General features: G+C 37.6%; 1 protein-coding gene across 1 annotated transcript in view; it reads right to left on the bottom strand.

The window, feature by feature from the left end:
- SMC3 (structural maintenance of chromosomes 3) overlaps positions 1-19,164 on the bottom strand; it is a 38,354-nt gene that overhangs the window by 9,084 nt on the left and 10,106 nt on the right. Inside the window, exons 6-19 of the mRNA NM_005445.4 lie at positions 19,051-19,130; positions 18,259-18,337; positions 15,944-16,061; positions 14,867-15,042; positions 14,323-14,403; positions 13,417-13,581; positions 13,003-13,124; positions 12,569-12,782; positions 7,257-7,360; positions 6,974-7,073; positions 6,393-6,553; positions 5,833-5,974; positions 3,742-3,892; positions 415-567 (exon numbers count right to left, since the gene is read on the bottom strand). Of these exons, the coding sequence (NP_005436.1) occupies positions 415-567; positions 3,742-3,892; positions 5,833-5,974; positions 6,393-6,553; positions 6,974-7,073; positions 7,257-7,360; positions 12,569-12,782; positions 13,003-13,124; positions 13,417-13,581; positions 14,323-14,403; positions 14,867-15,042; positions 15,944-16,061; positions 18,259-18,337; positions 19,051-19,130 (1,846 nt within the window). The remainder of the gene's footprint in view (positions 1-414; positions 568-3,741; positions 3,893-5,832; positions 5,975-6,392; positions 6,554-6,973; positions 7,074-7,256; positions 7,361-12,568; positions 12,783-13,002; positions 13,125-13,416; positions 13,582-14,322; positions 14,404-14,866; positions 15,043-15,943; positions 16,062-18,258; positions 18,338-19,050; positions 19,131-19,164) is intronic.

Here is a 19,164-nt window from a genome sequence, read left to right as displayed (position 1 = left end):
TAAGCAATATGTAACATTACTGATGCCGCCCCCACTCTCTTCCTTAAAACAGTATCTCTTGCTTACATAAATTCAACAGGGAAGAAGGGAAAAAAAAAAAAACTACCAAGGTTTTACTTGTACAATTCACAAACTGATCCTTCTCAGTTTCCTCTTTCTTTGCCTGATACAACCTTTATTTTTGTGTTCTATGGGTTCTTTTCTTCCAAGTGACTTCATGGTATTAGCTACTTAACACTTAAGCAAAGAATCATTAAAATAGCTTTTAGTCTTCAAAAGCTAAACAAACATAAGCTCTTGAACTTAAAACACAAGAAATTTTTAATATGTGAAAAAACAAAAGATTATATATGGCAACCAAAACACAGTTCTTCCCCCACAATATCTATCACTATGCACAAAACAAAAAGATATTTTCAATATTTCTGCGCAGGTTTTCATTGAGCTTTGCTTCAAGTTCACCTAGTTCTTCTTCTGCTTTTCTAACATCTTTTTGCAATTCAAGTCGAGACTTCCTTGTGTCATAATAACCCCCAGTTAGAGCACCCCGATGGCTGACTTGGTCACCTATAAACAAAACATATGTAATAGGTCTGTACAACTTTTTTATTCAATGATAAATTGACTTATAACAAAAAAACTAACCTACAGGCTTTAAGTAGATAATGAGAATTGAAAGTAATTTAAACCACCCTGAAAAAATTTTGCTTTTCAATGCTAGATTTTTTTTTTTTTTTTTTTTGAGACAGGGTCTTGCTCTTGTTGCTCAGGCTGGAGTGCAGTGGTGCGGTCATAGCTCACTGCAACCTCAAACTCCTGGATTCAAGTGATCCTCCTGCTTCAGCCTCCTGAGTGGCTAGGACTACAGGTGTGCACCACCACACCTTTTTTGTAGAGACCAGGTCTTGCTATGTGCCCAGGCGGTTCTCGAACTCCTGCCCTCAAGTGATCCTCATGCTTTAGCCTCTTAAGTATCTAGGATTACAGAGTCAAGCCACTGTGCCCAGCCAAAATTTGCAGTCTTTAAAAAAAAAAAAAAAAAAAAAAGAACCTCCAGTTGAACCTGAACATCTACCAGAGGGGAAGGAAGTGAAGACTAAAGAGGAAATATTAGTAGGACACAGGACCTAGCTTGAAATTTCCACTGGCCATATTTGGGAAAATTTGAGCATCAAAATAACAATACCAATGTAATAACATATTGAATTAAAAAAAAAAAATTCATGAATCACAGTGATACTTTTTTAAAAAATGAAAATTGGAGACTCTTTTCTACAGAAGAGTGACAGCTAATAAATGCAGCAGCAATAACAGAATTTATGAATCACCATTTTGAAACCCCCCAGTGTAACAACTGATTCAGGCAAGAGTCAACAAAGTGCTAAAGCAACTGAAGTTGTTGGGAGAACCTGACTTGAAGAATAATCTCACATATTATTAAATTACAAAGGGGCAAAGGGATACCTTTACAACGGAGAGATCTGCAGGTGATCAAACCTAGTATCACTAACAATGGGACACATTATATGACACCATAAGTACATATCATTCATGTAGCATTCATGCCAACAATATTTAAACAATGATGAGGAAGCAATAAGACAAATCCAGAAAATGGAACTTTTCTGGATTTCTCTGGGTGGGGAGAAGGGAGCAGGAGGAACTGTCTTATATTTAAAGAATCTAGACCGGGCATGGTGGTCATGCCTGTAATCCCAGCACTTTGGGAGGTTGAGGCAGGCAGATCACCTGAGGTCAGGAGTTCGAGACCAGCCTGACCAACATAGAGAAACCCCGTCTCTACTAAATACAAAATTAGCCGGGCATAGTGGCGCATGTCTGTAATCCCAGCTACTTGGGAGGCTGAGGCAGGAGAATCGCTTGAACCTGCGAGGCGGAGGTTGTAGTGAGCTGAGATCATGCCACTGCACTCCAGCCTGGGCTCGAAACTCCATCTCAAAAAAAAAAAATAAAGAGAAGACACTATATGCATACTTGATTTAATCCTAAATAGAAAAATATTTTAGGATAATTGAGAAAACTTGAATATGGATACTTTTTAGAGGATATTAGGTTAATGTTAAATTTCTTAGGTGTAACAATGATACTGTGGCTATACAAAAGAATGTTCTTATTGTTAGGAGATGCATGCTTAAATTTTAGAGATGACATGACATGATGTTTTACTTATTCTTGGATGGTTCAAAAACAACCACAACAAAACGTACATATACAGAAACAAAGCTTGGGGGGAGATGGGTTTACCTGCTTTCTTCAACAAATAAAGAGGAAAAAAAAAATTGAGGGCAGGTAAACTAAACCTATATACTGGAGGTTCTTAACCTGGATTTCAAAGATAAAATTCAGAAGATCTGTGATCTGAGTAGGAAAAAAATTTACATCTTTATTTTTATTAACCTCAAAATGAGATTTAGCATTTCCCTTCTATAACGAACACGACAAGAACCACAGTAGTAGTATTAGTATCTGTGACTACCAAAAGAAGAGCTATTTTCATATTAGGTAACACTTGTCAGATGTCAAAATATTGTTTACATGTATCAGTACTTCAAACTTATGGTAGCTATTAGACCCACTACTATCTTGTTTTTTGAATACATTAAATAATTATATAATATTTTTTAAAATAATAACCATGCGAATACAATTCATCTCCTTTGTGATCCAAAGTATTTTAATTTATGCATTAAAAATTGTGTTGAATGTGGCTTTTGTTGTGGAAAAAAGTAAAAAAAAAATAAATTTAAAAATTAAAAAAAAAATTGTGAAGGATCCATATGCTTCAAACAGCCAAAGCAGTCCACACTGCAAAAAAGGTTAAGAACCCCTGCTATATGATCACATTTCAGAGACATCAACTAAATATCAAGTACGAACCCTGTCTGGACTCTTAATTGAACAAACCAACTATTTAAAAAACTATAAAATAATTGAAAATAAATTTTTCTTTTTTTTTGAGACAGGATCTTGCTCTATCACCCAGGCTGGAGTGCAGGGGTGTGATCTTGGCTCACTGCACCCTCTGCCTCCCAGGTTTAAGCCATTCTCATGCCTCAGCCTTCTGAGTTGTTGGGATTACAGGTGTGCGCCACCACACCCAGCTAATTTTTTGTATTTTTAGTAGAGATGGGGTTTCACCATGTTGGCTAGGCTAGTCTTGAATTCCCTCCTCAAGTTATCCACCTGCCTCAGCCTCCCAAAGTGCTGGGGTTATATATAGATGTGAGCCACCATGCCCGGCCAAAGGCAAAGGATGAATTTTTCGAATACTCTCAAAACCAGAATGTCTCCAAAATACTGTAAGATATATTAATCAGACATGCATACAGCTCAACTGACATATTATACAGATTATATGTCTCTTTGTTTTTTGAGACAGAGTCTCGCTCTGTCACCCAAGCTGGAGTGCAGTGGCGTGATCTCGGCTCACTGCAACCACTGCCTCCCAGGTTCAAGCAATTCTCCTGCCCCAGCCTCCTGAGTAGCTGGGACTACAGGTGCACACCACCACACCCAGCTAATCTTTGTATTTTTAATGGAGACAGGGTTTCGCCTCGTTAGCCAGGCTGGTCTTGAACTCCTGACTTCAGGTGATCCACCCGCCTCAGCCTCCCAAAGTGCTGGGATTACAGGCATGAGCCACTGCGCCCAGCCAGATTATATGTTTTAAATGATTTGTTAGAATTTATCTGTTTAAAGCTAAGAATTAGTATTACAAACCTTCCAAAGTAATACAGTCCATAGTGAAAGCACGGGCCAGCTGGGTTGAAACTTCCATGCTACGACAAATAAGAGTCTTTCCAAACACATGTTTGAAAGCTTTGTCAAATCTGGGATTGTACCTCAGTTTGCTGATCATAGGAATAGCATCCTAAAAATGAAATTTTGTCAACAGAGAGATCACAACACAGTTAACTAAGAACTTAGAATTATGAAATTACATCTTTATGAAATACAAATAAACCATAAACACCATTATATTTCAAAACGATTGGCGTTTTCCCTGAAGTAGTTAGAAGACTCATTCCACTAGAATATCCTGGTAATTTTGCTCTTGTAATCAAGGTTTTCAATAGTAGAGCCTAATAGTGCTAAAGAGTTTAGTGGTTCTGAAGCTAGACTGCCCAAATTCAAACACTCGTTTCACCATTTATCAGATGTGTACTGTGGACAAGTTGCTTAACTTCCTCAGATAATAGTTACTTTATCTACAAAATCGTAGACAATACATACCTTCCTTATAAAGTTGTGAAGACTAAATGAGTTAATATATGCAAAACTTACGATAGTATCTCTCACATAAAAGGGCTAAATATAAATAGTACTTCCTCAAAATGTTTTAATTTTACATATTTTATATATCTAAATTAGATAGGAAAATATTTTGTCAGATAAAATTTCATTTCCTCTCTCCTAAACTGTTAGAACAGGGTTTTTAAAATTATGAAAATATATCCCATATATAGAAAAATGTAGTTAAGTATTCAGTGTAAATTAATAGAACACCAACATAACCACAAGAAACAGAGCACTGCTGACACCCCAGAAGTCATGGGTGTGCTCCTTTCCTAATCACAAAGCAGTTACCTACAGTGGTTACCTGCGAGAAACGACCACTGCCATGACTGTGCTAATCACTTCCTTGCACTTCCCAGTTCTATAAAATTTTTTTTTTTTTTTGAGATGGAGTCTTGCTCTGTTGCCAGGATGAAGTACAGTGGCATGATCTTGGCTCACTGCAACCTCTGCCTCCCCAGTTCAAGCGATTTTCCCGCTTCAGCCTCCCAAGTACCTGGGATTACAGGTGCCTACTACCATGTCCAGCTAATTTTTTGTATTTTTAGTAGAGACAGGGTTTTGCCTTGTTGGCCAGGCTGGTCTTGAACTCCTAACCTCAGGTGATCCGCCCACCTCCCCCTCCCAAAGTGAGGGGATTACAGGTGTGAGCCACCGAGCCTGGCCCTAAGTTTGGTTTTGTTTACTCAGCGTAAATGGAACCACGCTCCATGTACTCCTTTGTGTCTCGTTCCATTCATACATCATGTTTTTGAGACTCAATTTTTCTTACCCAAACTTCAAAGACAATTTGTAGATGTGATAGCAGAAAAAGTCAGACCCTTTGATAGCTTACAAGATTCTTAATGTTCCACTTAAATTATTGATCATTCTCATGGGGTTTCAGCTTTAACTTCAGAGGATGGTAAAACAGTTGATGCTACCATCAACATTCTGAAGTCAAGTACCTCAAAGCAATTACACTGTTCTAAGAATGGTGTCTGAAGAATATTTTTAATCCACCTAAAGTGCACTTTTGTTACCAACAAAAGCAATGTTATGCTTCCGAAGTCTATCACCTTACTAGCCATTTTTTTCATTTAATCCTAAGTACGTCAAGACACTTTTAAACTATACATGACAGTTCCTTGGGAATCTTTCTCCAACTCCCTAACCTTAATTATGTCACTCCCAGATATGCTCTCAAAGTATCCTGTACTTACGCTTTTAACACTGCACATTTGCAATGATTTGTTTCATATCTTAGCTTTTTTCTCTTCTTTTTAAATGATCCTCCCACTTCAGCCTCCCAAGTAGCTGGGATTACAGGCGTGCATCACCACACCAATCATAGCTGTGACTTCTGTCTCCCTCCCCAAAACCCACTCAGCACTAAGGTCCATGGGAAGACAGATATTTTTATCTCATACACCACTGAATCCCAGTGTATAGTGCCTGGGCACTAGCATGTGTTAGATTATGTGATAAAAAATAACATTATAAAAGAGAAATACACCTTATCACACAATGACTCACATTGGTTTCAGGATAGGCTGTATCCCTGACATCTAACTTGTTAAGAGGCAGAAAAGTAACCTCTCCAGGAAGATTCATTTTATTAAACTCCATTAAAATCTTCGTGCTGACTTCATCTGAATCAACAATGTGATAAAATAACCTAAATATAAACAGAGTAAGACAAATCTTTATTGGTACTCAGGGTCTCCCTATGTTGCCCAAACTTATCAATCCTCCCACCTCAGCCTCCTGCATAGCTGGGACTAAAGGTGTGCACTTTTAAAATGTTATAAACACTTAAGCATCAAACAGTTTTTTCCTATATAATCCAAATAATTTTGGAAAATAAGACTACTTTAAAAATTCCAATGGCGGGGAGGGAGAAACTCCCAAAAGAGGAAAGTTCTAGCTTCTATAATTAGGAACAAATACTTAGCATCTACTTCTTTAATTAGAAAGTTAAGGAACCGAGATATAAAAAGATAATGGAAGATATGTTGTACAAAAACTACAAAAGTTGTTTAAGCTATTCTTATTCCCTCTTCTAAAAATGCTAAATATCAAGCAAAAGCTTTAACCTGTTTCCAGCAGTGACTTCCACGCATGTGTAGAAAGCTGGTTCACATTCAAAGTTATTCATTACAATACCATGATAGCCATTTTGAACATGCTGGTTTATTCCTTTTCGACGGAAGTGGTCTAGCACTTTGTTTATGCTGTCTATTCCATTTAAAATGGCCTGTAAGTTGTCAGAAATGAAAAATATTAAAATAATATCATCAATGGCACTCCTGGTAAGGAATGAGCCCACAACACCATACATTTTAAAAATATACCAGTGATTAAACTAAACATCCTCTCCAACAAACACATCACCTCCTCACAATATGCCAACTACATGTAACACCTTATATGATAGGCTCTGTTCCATAACAGTAGTGTTAAAAATGGGCTCTTTATCTGAACATCAAAAGTGCTATTAATAGTATGTGTAGTAATAAAACTATTTAATCTCTATCATTTCATATTTAGAAGATAATTTGGACTCCTATTTATCACTTGGAACCCATGACCTACACCTTGAAAGGTAAAAAATTATTACATAACGATTAACTCAATGACTCAGTGTAAACAGAGGTGATGAAAAGAACCTGCCCACCTTTCCTGTTGCTGCTCTAAGAAGTTGTTGCTTCTTTTCAAGATCTTCTCTTTTAGCAGCAAGTGCTTGCTGTTCTGCATTCTCTTCTCTCCACAAGTAGCTAATAAATAAAAAGTAGACTGTCTTTAATTTTAAACACATATGAGGATGCATTAACAGTATACAGTTTAGAATCAAAATACAGAAAACAAGCCTGACCGGTTAACTTGTAACTTAAAGACCACATAACAGCTAGTAACGAACATTACTGAAAACATTAATGCACATTTTAGTCTATACTAACTTTCTTTCACTTTGTAGTTCATCTTTCTTATTTTTTACTTCGTAATATTTTCTGTCCAGTTCTTCTACTCGAGCTTTGACTTCATTAAGATCCTGGTCCAGTTTCTATGGAAATAAAAATAAATTTAAAATTCAATTTCATGAAACTAATCTACACTGATAGAAAGCAGATCAGTGGTTGCAGATGGATGGGGGAGGCGGACAAAAGGTGAGGGAGGAATTACAAAGGGGTATGGAAAACGCTTTTGGGTAATAAACGTGTTTATTGTCTTAACTGTGGTGTGTGGTGTCTTAACTGTGTGGTGTTTTACAGATGTATACGTATGTCAAAACTCATCAAATTATATACTTTATTTTTGCCACTTTCCTGACTAGGAAAAATGATGTACACTAAATATGTACAATTTACTGTATGTGAATTATACCTCAATGATGCTGTTGAAAAATCCAATTTCAGTTTGTTTTTTTTGTTTTTTGTATTTTTAGTAGAGACGGAGTTTCACCGTGTTAGCCAGGATGGTCTCGATCTCCTGACCTCATGATCCGCCCGTCTCGGCCTCCCAAAGTGCTGAGATTACAGGCGTGAGACACTGCGCCCGGCCCCATTTCAGTTTTTAAAAGTTGTCTTTAGGCAAAAGAGCATACCACACCAGAAAACACAAACCATTAAATACTATAAAACATGTTGCTAAAAGTTAATTTGTTCATTAGTGATCTAAATCTTCCTATTTCTATAATATACACTCCAGAATTTTAGAAAAAAAATTCTAAGTTCTCATAATAGTCCATTATATACTTTCATACTGCCCCCTCTACACACACACACAACAGAACACAAAAACTATTTTCAACTATTTTACATTCAAGAAAAATGAGTTAAAAATCTTGGCAGAACCTATAACAAATCTCTAAGAACCTAACGTAAGATGCTGTTTCCTTAAGGAGAATTAATGAACTGTATTCATTAATTTAGTAGACTATACTGAGCTGAAAAAATCCAATAGCCTCACTGGCTAGAGTTTAAGGAAGCTGACACTTCATCCACTTAGTGAAGTTACCAAAACCCCAGTATGTACCAGGCATTCTTAGAAGAGCTGGGGAATCATAAAAGACCAAAGCAAACAAAAATCCTTGCCTTACTGGGAAGCAATAAGACAAGCAAAATAAAGCTGAAGATCATCCTTCAGGGGAAGGGCTTCAAACTGCTTCATAAAGTAATTACATTCATCTGTTTGTATTATAACTAATTATTGTCAGATATCAAAGTAATTGTAAATATTCCCACAGAGTACTGACAATTATTCATCCTCAGTAGTAACACTGACTTTTTGTCCAAAATTTTAATGGACAAAAGTCAATGTTACTACTAATTCCACTGACAAAAAGTCAATGTTACTACTGAGTCACAAAATCTTAGATTGGCCGGGCGCGGTGGCTCACACCTGTAATCCCAGCACTTTGGGAGGCCGAGGTGGGCAGCTCATGAAGTCAAGAGATGGAGACCATCCTGGGCAACATCGTGAAACCCCGTCTCTACTGAAAATACAAAAATTAGCCAGGCGTGATGGCACACGCCTGTAGTCCCAGCTACTGGGGGAGGCTGAGGCAGGAGAATCACTTGAACCCAGGATGGGGAGGTTGCAGTGAGCTGAGATTGTGTCACTGCACTCCAACCTGGTGACACAGCGAGACTCTGTCTCAAAAAATCTTGGATAATCAGAATGACTTTTAACATCTTGGATAATTAAACCCTTTAATTCTACACATAAGGAATTTGGGACTCAGTGGTATCTGAAACCATAAAAGAGTTAACAAATTCCCTAGGTAAAATTTAACTTTTCTGCAGCAATTACTTAATTCATCCCCAGGCTATCTGAACACATGCTAAAAGAAGAGTATAAACCTTGAAGAGTCAGTTTTCCTAAATTAATGTTTCAACTTTTACAGTCCTAAACAATTCAGACTGTTGTGTTATTAACTAGCATTACAGCTTACAATATTTCTTTTTTTTTTTTTTTTTCTTTGAGACGGAGTCTCGCTCTGTCGTCCAGGCTGGAGTGCAGTGGTGCAATCTTGGCTCACTGCAAGCTCTGCCTCCCAGGTTCACGCCATTCTCCTGCCTCAGCCCCCCGAGTAGCTGGCACTACAGGCGCCCGCCACCACGCCCAGCTAATTTTTTATATTTTTTAGTAGAGATGTGGTTTCACCGTGTTAGCCAGGATGGATGGTCTCGATCTCCTGACCTCGTGATCCGTCCACCTCGGCCTCCCAAAGTGCTGGGATTACAGGCGTAAGCCACTGCGCCTGGCAGCTTACAGTATTTCTTAAGTCCTACATACTTTGTTTTTTTCCAGGTGTATCTGAACACTAATGGTTCCCTTTCTGACACCATGATGCTACTCAGAACCAGTAATAAAGTAAGCTACCTATATTAAATTCAAAATATAATGTTTTGTAGACTTTATTAAATGCATTACAACCTGGAAAAGAGAAAACATTTAGTTTGCACTGAAACTATCTAAGAGCTTCCCCTTCTCCACAGCAGTTGCTACGGCCAAGATACCACTGACATAAGTTAGAAAAGTCTAAAAACTTAAGTTTGATAAGTATGTAGGATATGTATCACATAAATGAACTGTAATAAAGCATAATAAAACCACCAAAAAGACATTTTATTTTTCATACTGCAGGTTTTAAAAATACACTGTGGAAAAATTAATTTAGGATTATACCAAGAGGCAAAAGCCTATTTACACCGGGCGCGGTGGCTCACGCCTGTAATCCCAGCACTTTGGGAGGCTCAGGTGGGCGGATCACCTGAGGTCAGGAGTTCGAGAACAGCCTGACCAACATGGTGAAACCCTGTCTCTACTAAAATACAAAAATTAGCCGGGAGCAGTGGCGGGCGCCTGTAATCTCAGCTACATGGGAGGCTGAGGTAGGAGAATCGCTTGAACCCAGGAGGCAGAAGTTGCAGTGAGCCAAGATCGCACCATTGCACTCCAGCCTGGCAACAGAGTGGGGCTGTCTCAAAAAAAAGGCTATTTACATAACAAAATCAGCGCCATAAAATCATCTCTGTCCAAAGGAAAGGCTTCATCTTTACAAGTGGTCATTCTGATAACCAAAAGTGTGGCTGGAATACTGGAAAATAATGAACTTCAAGCATGACAAAAAATGAATAAATTCTCTCACTGGAGGCACCTTCAAAAAGGGCATCTGCTGAGGTTGGTTTCATAAACTCAAGAGAAAACTCATTTTATTTCAAGAAAGGAGGTGTTAACTATCAGTTCAGACTATACTAACCATATAAAGAACTGCCTGGATTAACCCAACTTTTCCACTCCTTCCACAAAGTATCACAACTAAAACCCACAGCACGACTGGACTTCCAAAAACAGCAGGCTACACTCCTCGCAATTTTACCTACCTATTGTTTATGCCTACAGAGGCTGTTGTGTTTTCTCCCCACTATATATTTTTTTCTTTATGTAAAGTGAGAATATGAGTACAAAGTAAACAGCTCTTTCTTTAAAACTTCACTGAGGTTTTGGATACATTTAAAGGTGAGTCACCAAAAACTTAAAGTGGGCAAATCACTATAACAGATTAGGGGCCAGGCATGGTGGCTCACACCTATAATCCCAGCACTTTGGGAGGCCGAGGCAGGCAGGTCACAAGGTCAAGAGATCAAGACCATCCTGGCTAACACAGTGAAACGCCATTCTACTAAAAATACAAAAAATTAGCCAGGCGTGGTGGCATGTGCCTGTGGTCCCAGCTACTTGGGAGGCTGACGCAGGAGAATTGCTTGAACCCGGGAAGCGGAGGGTGCAGTGAGCCGAGATCGCGCCACTGCACTCCAGCCTGGGCGACAGAGCAACACTCCATCTCCAAAAAAAAGAGATTAGGGACAAATAATTATATATAATATACAATTAATAAGTACATAAATATTAATATATGTACTTTATAACAAATAATTTAAAATGTCAAGTCCCAAAAGTCAAGAAAAAACTGAAGAACTGGTCCAGATTAAAGCAGATAAAAGAAACATGACAACTAAATGTAACATAAGATGCTGGAATACCAAAAAATGAAGTTTTAAAAAAAAAAAATTACACCGGGCATGGTGGCTCACGCCTGCAATCCCAGCACTTAGGAAGGCTGAGGTGGGTGGATCTCGAGGTCAGGAGTTCAAGACCAGCCTGGCCAAGATGGTGAAACCCCACCTCTACTAAAAATACAAAAAAATTAGCCGGGCGTGGTGGCAGGCACCTGTAATCCCAGCCACTCGGGAGGCTGAGGCAGAGAATTGCTTGAACTCAGGAGGTGGAGGTTGCAGTGAGCTGAGATCATGCCACTGCACTCCAGACTGGGTGACACAGTGAGACTCGTATTAAAAAAAAAAAAAAAAAATTGTTACTATCAGCTGGGCACGGTGGCTCACGCCTGTAACCCCAGCACTTTGGGAGGCTGAGGCAGGCAGATCACCTGAGGTTGGGAGTTTGAGAGCAGCCTGACCAACATGGAGAAACCCCATCTCTACTAAAAATACAAAATTAGCTGGGCTTGGTGGTGCATGCCTGTAATCCCAGCTACTCAGGAGGCTGAGGTTGCAGTGAGCCGAAATTGCGCCATTGCACTCTAGCCTGGGCAACAAGAGCCAAACTCCATCTCAAAAAAAAAAAGTTACCAACAAGCTATTTTAGACATATGTTGTGACATCTTGTTAAATTAAGGGTATGTAAGACACATGCTACCAATTCATAAAAACATATTTTAAGCTGGGCACAGTGGCTCATGCCTCTAATCCCACCACTTTGGGAGGCCAAGGTCGGAGGATTGCTTAAGCCCAAGATTTCGAGACCAGCCTAGGCTACATGGCAAGACCTCGTCTCTACAAAAAAATAAATAAAAATTTTGCTGGGCCTGGTGATACATGCCTGTGGTCCCAGTTAGGAGGCTAAGGATGGAGGATCGCTGAGCCTGGAAGGTGGAGGCTGCAGTGAGTTGTGTTTGTACCACTGCACTCCAGATTGGGTGACAGAACAAGACCCTATCTCAAAAAAATTAAAAATACATACATACATTTTAATATACTTAATCTACATAAAGGCTCAATGACATGAATATTCTTTAAAAAAGAACTATATGTATATTAAACTGTGCAGGCCTTTTCTAAATAAGTATCTGTCATATATTTTAAGAGCAACATGTAGACTTATTTAAAAAGAAAACTTGAAGTAGATAAAACTAAACACATTTATCTCTTCTGAAAGATTTTTACAAAGCAGCTATAGAAGTTCTTACATTATACTGCTCCAGATTTTTCTCTTTATTTGCTTCAGTGTCTTCCAAATCCTTATGTATAGCAGCAATCTGTCTTTTCTTGTCATTAATAGCCTGATCTAAAGACTTGAGTTCCTTTTTAATCCACTTATCCCTTTCTTCTTTTGATGTAAACTGGCTTCCTCGACCCTGCTTTGCATAAAGATCCGTTCTTTCCTGGGTAGCTTGAGCCAATCTACACAAAATAGAAGCAAATGGGATGAAAAGGAGAATAATAACCAAGTTTAATTGCAACCAATAATGTCAACTGCACACAGAAACATAAAGCCATTTTTCAAAAAGATACAAAAAGAATTAAGTGTAAAAAGCAGCTACTATATAATTGAGCTCCTCGGACAACCTAGTTTTACATAATATGATGTAGAAAGTTAAAGTGTTGGTGAAAGTTCTCAGACCTAGCAATTCCTCGTTCTTCTTTCTCTTTCACACTGTTGAATTTGGGTTCTGTTTCTGCCAGTTCTTTCTGCTTTTCTTCTATTTTTTCAAGCAGCTTCTGCCTCTCTTTTAATAAACGTTTCTGTAAACAAAGTAAAAATGCAAACTGCTTTAAATTTTTTGCATAATTTAGGTCTAGCATAAATGTTTTCTCAGGAAAAAAACTTCATGAGAAAACCCACCTGTAACATGAAACTCTTTTTTAATGTAAGAAACAAAGGGACAGTACCAAGTTGTTACTTGAGTACAAATTATGCTAACGTAGCAAAGCTTAAAAAAAAATTCCAACACACACCAGTCACAGAAAGGGCTGTCTTCTACAGTTGCTACTCACCTGAACATTCACATCTTTCATTTTTAGCATTTTAACTTACCCTTTGTTCACTATTGCCTGCTAGTTCATCTTGTAAATCCTTGGCTTTAAGCTCCAACTTAGTCCTCTGCTTAATCTGCTCTTGTCTTTCAGCACTAAGCTGTTCTTTTTCTTCTTTCATAGCTGAAATTTTTGTTTTCAATTCTCTAACTTGGCGTTCGATATCCTATTCAAAAGTATTAAACAGAAAATAAGGCAATTAGAAGTACAATAGCAGAATTGTGACACCATTAATTCTCTTTCACTTAATGTTTAGTAATACTCTGTCCTTTCAATATTCAATTCCTCTAACTCTCCCTTGTGTAATCATTCCATAATTCTGGTACAAAAGGGTTTACTATGGTCAAAAACATACGATGGCTGGACATGGTTGCTCATGCCTGTAAACTCAGCACTTTGGGAGGCCCAGGTGGGAGGACTCCTTGAACCCAGGAGTTCAAAACCAGCCTGGGCAACATACTGAGATTCCATCTCTTCAAAAAATAACAAAAATAGGAGGCTGAGGTGGGAGGATCACTTGAGCTTGAGAGATCAAGGCTGCAGTGAGCTGTGATCTCACCACTGCACTCCAGCCTGTGCAATGGAGTGAGACCCTGTCTTCCAAAAAAAAAAAAAAAACTTCAGGAGGCTGAGGCAGAAGGACCACTTGAGCCCAGGAGTTTGTGACCAGCCTGGGCAACATGGTAAGACCTTGTCTCTACAATATATTTAAAAACTAGACAGGTGTGGTGGTACACACCTGTGCTCCAGCTATTCAGGAAGCTGCGGCAAGAGGATTGCCTGAGCCCAGGAAGTCAAGGCTACAATGAGCCATGATGGCACCACTGTACTCCAGCCTGGATGACAGAACAAGACCCTGTCTCAAAAGTAAAAAGTAAGTTAACATGAACCTTGTTTATAATCTTACCTCCATTTTATCTCTTGCATCCTGCTGAGCATCTCTTAATTGTCTGGATTTTTCTCCACTAGTCTCTCGCTTAGCAGAAAGCTAAGAAAAAAAACAACTTATCATATCTAACTCATTTTGTAATTACTAAATATTTCATAACATCTAATAAAAATTTTTCTATTAAAATAAACCAAAAGTAACTGCTCAAATTTTCTACAAAAATTTTAAAAATGATTTTAAACTAGAAAACTGAAGCACTAAATTTTTGTACAAAATGTGTAGTTTAGGATATACTACAACTACAAGAAGCCTTCAAAATGGCTTTCCTCTCATCTTGTCTGCCTAATACCACCATCTGATTATATTTCAGATAATACTATATAGCAAGGACCACATGGCTAATTTCCTTGAACTAAAAAAACTTGCTGACTAATAAATTCATTGAGAGGTTTTTTTTAAGTTTCTATTTAAAATCACTGAAAAGTGTAATTATGGCCTGAGTTTAACAAATTCATAAAAACAAAATTAATCTGATTTTAAGTGTCACAGGTAAATATTTTACCTCATCAAGTTTGGCACGAGTCTCGTTAAGTTCCTGATTGTAAATGGTATATTCCAGGGCTCGTCTCATTTTATCCCACTTCTGATACTGAGCTAGTTCTTCCTTTTCTTCCTCTAGAGTATGTAATCTCTCTTCAATGTATTTTAACAACTCATTGATTTTTTCCCGTTTGCCCTCTTAAAAGAAATGGGGAGAGAGGTGGAAGAATTGAATAAGATTTTTATGTAATATCACTTCTTAAATATACCTTGAATTAAATTATTTTTAAGAACTGTAGCATTATTTCTTTGATGTGATGTGGTAACCCAATTTAAAATACTAAAATAGCAATTAACCCATTTATGCCAGAGGTTGCAAATTTTTTTCTGTGAAAAATCAGACCTTGGCAATGACCTTGAGCAGTAGAATATAAGTAACATCCACAAGCTTAGGATTCCAATAATGGAATGCTAGGCATAAATGGGTTAAGATCCTTTATTATGAAAAGCACCAGAGAACAAATTTACACATGGTGACACTGGTTCTTTTATAACATGTAGTAAGGGCCTCAGTTTAAGCTTCCTTTTAAAAAGTCAGTGTGCCGGCCAGGCGCAGTGGCTCATGAGTAATCCCAGCACTTTGAGAGGCCAAGGCAGGTGGATCATCTGAAGTCAGGAGTTCGAGATCAGCCTGGACAACATGGTGAAACCCTGTCTCTACTAAAAATACAAAAATTAACTGAGTATGGTGGTGGGCACCTGTAATCCCAGCTACTCAGGGAGGCTGAGGCAGGAGAATCACTTGAACCCGGGAGGCAGAGGTTGCAATAAGCAGAGATCGCGCCACTGCACTCCAGCCTGGGTGACAGAGCAAGACTCCATCTCAAAAAAAAAAAAAAAAAAAGTCAGTGTGCGTTTCCACAATATTTTTAAAAGCTACTAACATCATTGGTGTTATGGATTCTCAATTTTTATTAATAACAGCATTATCTAATGCTGTCATATACTAAACACCTACTATATTCCCATCATGGAGCCACTCTGTCACAAAAACAGTAATTTGCAACAAAAAAATAAGGCAGAATCACATTTATTTTACCTGTTTCTTTCATTAAGGAGATGCTTTCTTCCTTTCGTTCGTCATACACTCTAGTACCAGCTACTTCTCTTAATAGCTTTAATCTCTGAGAATCTGGTGCTGTTGCCATCTGGTTGATCTAAAATTTTTAGAAAAATAATCATTACATAGCTGTAGCCTCCGTTTAAGAAGAAGAACTCCACGTTGAAAGGTTTTTAATACACATGAAGGTTGGGTATCCCTTATGCAAAATGGTTAGAAACCAGAAGTGTTACAGATTTTAGATTTTTTCAAGTTTTGGAATATTTGCATTTATACTTACCAGATGAGCAACCCAAATCCAAAAATTTGAAATCCAAAATGTTCCAACAAGCATTTCCTTTGAATGTCATGTCCACACTCGAAAGGTTTCAGATTGTAGAGCATTCTGTATTTCAGACTTTTGAATTTGGGACATGCCAAGTTTTAAACAGATTATGATTTGGCTAATGTCATTTGTATAGTACGCATGCCTACATATCTATGTCTCCTTTACTTAAATGAAATTTACCAAATAAAATCCAAATACAACTGTTACGGTCATAACTCTCCTTTATGAATAGGGCTAACAAGTGAAGGAGTATCTCACACCACCATCTTTTTCTTAGTCAATATGATAAGGTATAAAAGATGAGCTCCATTCTCAAAAAACAAAGTATTTTTATAAGGGAAAACCATCACTGACTACACTTTTTTTTAAAGCTACAATAATATATTAAAAGTCAATTCTTCCTCAGTTTCCATGGGGATTGGTTCTAGGACCCCCTGCAGGTACCAAAATCCAAGGATGCTCAAGTCCCTTATATAAAATGGCATAGTATTTGCATATAACCTATGCACATCCTTCCATATACTTTAATATCTAGATTAATTATAATAATACAATGTAAATGCTATGTAAATAGTTTTACTGTATTTTTAAATTTGTATTATTTCTTATTGTACTGTTTTAAAATTTTATTTATTTTAAATATTTTTGATCCATGGTTGGCTGAACTTGCAGATGTGGAACCTACAGATACAGAAGGCTAATGATATGACAAAAATGGTATGCTTTAAATATAGAGAGAATGGTACAACTTAAGTGCCATGCAACTTAATATATAACAAGTATCCCTAAATGTCAAAAATGATATCACTGCATTAAAAAATTGAAATTATCTCTACGAAAATAGGTCTATCAAAAGTATCTACATCAAAGAATCATCCTTCAGATCCTCATTATTGAACGCTCCAATTATACATATTGGTTCATGCAATTTCCTCACTTAAAAATTATTTTTCAAATGGCTACAACATATGTGCCACTGCTGGGCACTGGAAAAGAGCAAACAAAGCAGAAAAGGTCCCACCCTCATGGAGCTTACATTCTAATGGAAAAAGACAGAAAATAAGTACTATCCTAACAGTGTAAGTGTTATGAAGAAAAATAAAACAGATTAAGGAAATAAAGCACATAGGGTTGAGGGGACGGCAATGCTTTCAGATGAGGCAATCAAGGATGGCATACGGGCAGAAACTGAAATGAAGTAAAAGGGCCTAGATTGACAGCAGACGGATCTCAGAAAAGTGCTCTTTCAAATCAGCCTCCATTTAAAAAAATTTATCTCCCACAAATAGTTAAATCGGAAAAAAACGTGTTCTTCCAGTAACACATTTTCTAAAACTGAAACTCCATATTCTTCCTAATCACTTCTTCTAAATGCTAACTTTCCAATACATATCTAGAAAAAAAGGCCTACAGTATAAAATAAGTGAATATTCTTTGAGAATTTTCCCTAGTCCAAAAAAAAAGTGAAAGTATATGAGAAGAGAGCAGAACAATCAGCTAAAAAAGTTTGTAGTTTGGCTGCTGAAAAAATGTAAAAACATAATCCCTATTAGGGAAAATAACATGTGGCAAAATGGCAGATTTCTGGTAATGTTAGCTTTTCAGTATTTTAATTGTGATAAATAATTAGGTAACACAAAATATTAATTTTAGAAAGTTTTTCAAATGTGATTTTTATAGAATTCCTACAATATTCTTAATTATTGCAACATTCATAAGCCAATAATGTCTTCCCATACTTTCACCTCAGTAAGTAATACCAGTCACTAGGAAAACAAGATCCACTTAATATGCTGAAATACTTCCATCTCAACATGCAATGGACCTATTTGGTACTTTATGGCCATGTAAAAGAATATGGCCATTTTTGCTTCAGCTTAACCACTCAAATCAATAAACCAAATTCATCACTCAAGAATTACTCAGAAAACAAATTCTACTTAAAAAGGACATACAATTGTTTTACCTTTCCTTGTTTAACAATATAATAAGGATTGCTTCGAGAAAAACCAGCGCTTTCAAGGAGGTTCATCACATCATTTTTCCTGTTGACAAACAATGAAATTACTTTCCGATAAATAATTTTAAAGCACCATTAAGCAATGAGTAGAGTAGCCCCTTGGTTGATAGCATTAGGGAGGAAAGATCAGTAATTAAACCATCTGTATCATCCTCAGAACTTTCTGATTCTTATGTTTATCCTCTATATGTTGACTTGTTGAAGATGAAGCAAATATTCCTCATATATGAAGCAGGTAAAAGAATACTTTTTACTCTTTTGTAAGGAAATCATAAAATTGCGGGCTGGGCGCAGTGGCTCATGCCTCTAATCCCAGCACTTTGGGAGGCCAAGGCAGGCAGATCACAAGGTCAAGAGTTCGAGACCAGCCTGCCAACATGGTGAAACCCCGTCTCTACTAAGAATACAAAAAGTAGCCGGGTGTGGTGGTGACTGCCTGCAATCCCAGCTACTCAGAAGGCTGAGGCAGCAGAATAGCTTGAACCCGGGAGGTGGAGGTTGCAGTGAGCCGAGACTGCGCCACTGCACTCCAGCCTGGGCGACAGAGCAAGACTCCGTATTGAGAAAAAGAAAAATGCTGGCTGGGCGTGGTGGCTCATGTCTGTAATCCTAGCACTTTAGGAAGCCGAGGTGGATCATTTGAGGCCAAGAGTTCGAGACCAACCTGGCCAACACAGCAATACCCCATCTCTATTTAAGTACATATTCAGTTTTTTTAAAAAAAAGAAAAATGCTTACGTGACCATCTTCTTGTCTAAGAAATACTGATCCTTTTTGGCACCAATAACTCTTCGAAGTGAAACTTCCTCTTTATCGATCTAAGAAAAAATGTAAAAGCCCACAGTTAATTTA

This window comes from Homo sapiens, chromosome 10 (assembly GCF_000001405.40).
Source record: "Homo sapiens chromosome 10, GRCh38.p14 Primary Assembly".
Classification (NCBI taxonomy): Eukaryota; Metazoa; Chordata; class Mammalia; order Primates; family Hominidae; genus Homo; species Homo sapiens.
This window is presented reverse-complemented; position numbering and strand designations above follow the sequence as displayed.